Source organism: Homo sapiens, chromosome 10 (assembly GCF_000001405.40).
Source record: "Homo sapiens chromosome 10, GRCh38.p14 Primary Assembly".
Classification (NCBI taxonomy): domain Eukaryota; kingdom Metazoa; phylum Chordata; class Mammalia; order Primates; family Hominidae; genus Homo; species Homo sapiens.
In genome coordinates this window covers 20569981-20573369 of record NC_000010.11, presented here as the reverse complement: position 1 = coordinate 20573369, position 3389 = coordinate 20569981, and positions in this window count along the sequence as shown.

Sequence of the window (3389 nt, the reverse complement as noted above, 5' to 3'; positions counted from 1 at the left end):
TGTCTTATTTAAAACTATCCTATATTTTATATTTAAACTATTTTATAGTTTTCGATTAGGTCCCAATGAGCTAAAGTCAAGTTGTCAGCAGGATTGTGTTCCTTATGGAGGCTCTAGAAGAGAATCTTTCCTTGCCTTTCCCACCTTTTAGAAGAAATCTGCATCCCTTGGCATATGGCCCTTTCCTGCAACTTCAGAGCCAGCCACGTGGCATCCTCAAATCTCCCTCTGACTCCAACTCATCCACCGTCCTCTTCTATTTACAAGTACCCTTGTGACTGTATTGGACCAGAATAATCCCCTCAACTCAGTGTCAGCCAGTGAGCAACCTCAACCCCACTGCAACTTAAATTCTTCTTTGTCATGTCACCTATTTAGAGATTTCAAGGATTAGGACACAATTTTGGGGGGCTATTCTGCCTACCACATTGTACTACCAACAGCACTTTTTAATGAAAGGGTTTTCTGTTAGGGTTTTTTTTTTTATTGTACTTTAAGTTTTAGGGTACATGTGCACATTGTGCAGGTTAGTTACATATGTATACATGTGCCATGCTGGTGCGCTGCACCCACTAACTCGTCATCTAGCATTAGGTATATCTCCCAATGCTATCCCTCCCCCCTCCCCCCACCCCACCACAGTCCCCAGAGTGTGATATTCCCCTTCCTGTGTCCATGTGATCTCATTGCTCAGTTCCCACCTATGAGTGAGAATATGCGGTGTTTGGTTTTTTGTTCTTGTGACAGTTTACTGAGAATGATGATTTCCAATTTCATCCATGTCCCTACAAAGGACATGGACTCATCATTTTTTATGGCTGCATAGTATTCCATGGTGTATATGTGCCACATTTTCTTAATCCAGTCTATCATTGTTGGACATTTGGCTTGGTTCCAAGTCTTTGCTATTGTGAATAATGCCACAATAAACATACGTGTGCATGTGTCTTTATAGCAGCATGATTTATAGTCCTTTGGGTATATACCCAGTAATGGGATGGCTGGGTCAAATGGTATTTCTAGTTCTAGATCCCTGAGGAATCGCCACACTGACTTCCACAAGGGTTGAACTAGCTTACAGTCCCACCAACAGTGTAAAAGTGTTCCTATTTCTCCACATCCTCTCCAGCACCTGTTGTTTCCTGACTTTTTAATGATTGCCATTCTAACTGATGTGAGATGGTATCTCATTGTGGTTTTGATTTGCATTTCTCTGATGGCCAGTGATGATGAGCATTTTTTCATGTGTTTTTGGCTGCATAAATGTCTTCTTTTGAGAAGTGTCTGTTCATGTCCTTCACCCACTTTTTGATGGGGTTGTTTGTTTTTTTTCTTGTAAATTTGTTTGAGTTCATTGTAGATTCTGGATATTAGCCCTTTCTCAGATGAGTAGGTTGCGAAAATTTTCTCCCATTAGGTAGGTCGCCTGTTCACTCTGATGGTAGTTTCTTTTGCTGTGCAGAAGCTCTTTAGTTTAATTAGATCCCATTTGTCAATTTTGTCTTTTATTGCCATTGCTTTTGGTATTTTGGACATGAAGTCCTTGCCCATGCCTATGTCCTGAATGGTAATGCCTAGGTTTTCTTCTAGGGTTTTTATGGTTTTAGGTCTAACGTTTAAGTCTTTAATCCATCTTGAATTGATTTTTGTATAAGGTGTAAGGAAGGGATCCAGTTTCAGCTTTCTACATATGGCTAGCCAGTTTTCCCAGCACCATTTATTAAATAGGGAATCCTTTCCCCATTGCTTGTTTTTCTCAGGTTTGTCAAAGATCAGATAGTTGTAGATATGTGGCGTTATTTCTGAGGGCTCTGCTCTGTTCCATTGATCTATATCTCTGTTTTGGTACCAGTACCATGCTGTTTTGGTTACTGTAGCCTTGTAGTATAGTTTGAAGTCAGGTAGTGTGATGCCTCCAGCTTTGTTCTTTTGGCTTAGGATTGCCTTGGTGATGCAGGCTCTTTTTTGGTTCCATATGAACTTTAAAGTAGTTTTTTCCAATTCTGTGAAGAAAGTCATTGGTAGCTTGATGGGGATGGCATTGAATCTGTAAATTACCTTGGGCAGTATGGCCATTTTCACGATATTGATTCTTCCTACCCATGAGCATGGAAAGTTCTTCCATTTGTTTGTATCCTCCTTTATTTCATTGAGCAGTGGTTTGTAGTTCTCCTTGAAGAGGTCCTTCACATCCCTTGTAAGTTGGATTCCTAGGTATTTTATTCTCTTTGAAGCAATTGTGAATGGGAGTTCACTCATGATTTGGCTCTCTGTTTGTCTGTTATTGGTGTATAAGAATGCTTGTGATTTTTGTACATTGATTTTGTATCCTGAGACTTTGCTGAAGTTGCTTATCAGCTTAAGGAGATTTTGGGCTGAGACGATGGGGTTTTCTAGATATACAATCATGTCATCTGCAAACAGGGACAATTTGACTTCCTCTTTTCCTAATTGAATACCTTTTGTTTCCTTCTCCTGCCTAATTGCCCTGGCCAGAACTTCCAACACTATGTTGAATAGGAGTGGTGAGAGAGGGCATTCCTGTCTTGTGCCAGTTTTCAAAGGGAATGCTTCCAGTTTTTGCCCATTCAGTATGATATTGGCTGTGGGTTTGTCATAGATAGCTCTTATTATTTTGAGATACATCCCATCAATACCTAATTTATTGAGAGTTTTTAGCATGAAGGGTTGTTGAATTTTGTCAAAGGCCTTTTCTGCATCTATTGAGATAATCATGTGGTTTTTGTCTTTGGCTCTGTTTATATGCTGGATTACATTTATTGATTTGTGTATATTGAACCAGCCTTGCATCCCAGGGATGAAGCCCACTTGATCATGGTGGATAAGCTTTTTGATGTGCTGCTGGATTCGTTTTGCCAGTATTTTATTGAGGATTTTTGCATCAATGTTCATCAAGGATATTGGTCTAAAATTCTCTTTTTTGGTTGTGTCTCTGCCCAGCTTTGGTATCAGAATGATGCTGGCCTCATAAAGTGAGTTAGGGAGGATTCCCTCTTTTTCTATTGATTGGAATAGTTTCAGAAGGAATGGTACCAGTTCCTCCTTGTACCTCTGGTAGAATTTGGCTGTGAATCCATCTGGTCCTGGACTCTTTTTGGTTGGTAGACTATTGATTATTGCCACAATTTCAGCTCCTGTTATTGGTCTCTTCAGAGATTCAACTTCTTCCTGGTTTAGTCTTGGGAGAGTGTATGTGTCGAGGAATTTATCCATTTCTTCTAGATTTTCTCGTTTATTTGTGTAGAGGTGTTTGTAGTATTCTCTGATGGTAGTTTTTATATCTGTGGGATCGGTGGTGATATCCCCTTTATCATTTTTTATTGTGTCTATTTGATTCTTCTCTCTTTTTTTCTTTATTAGTCTTGCTA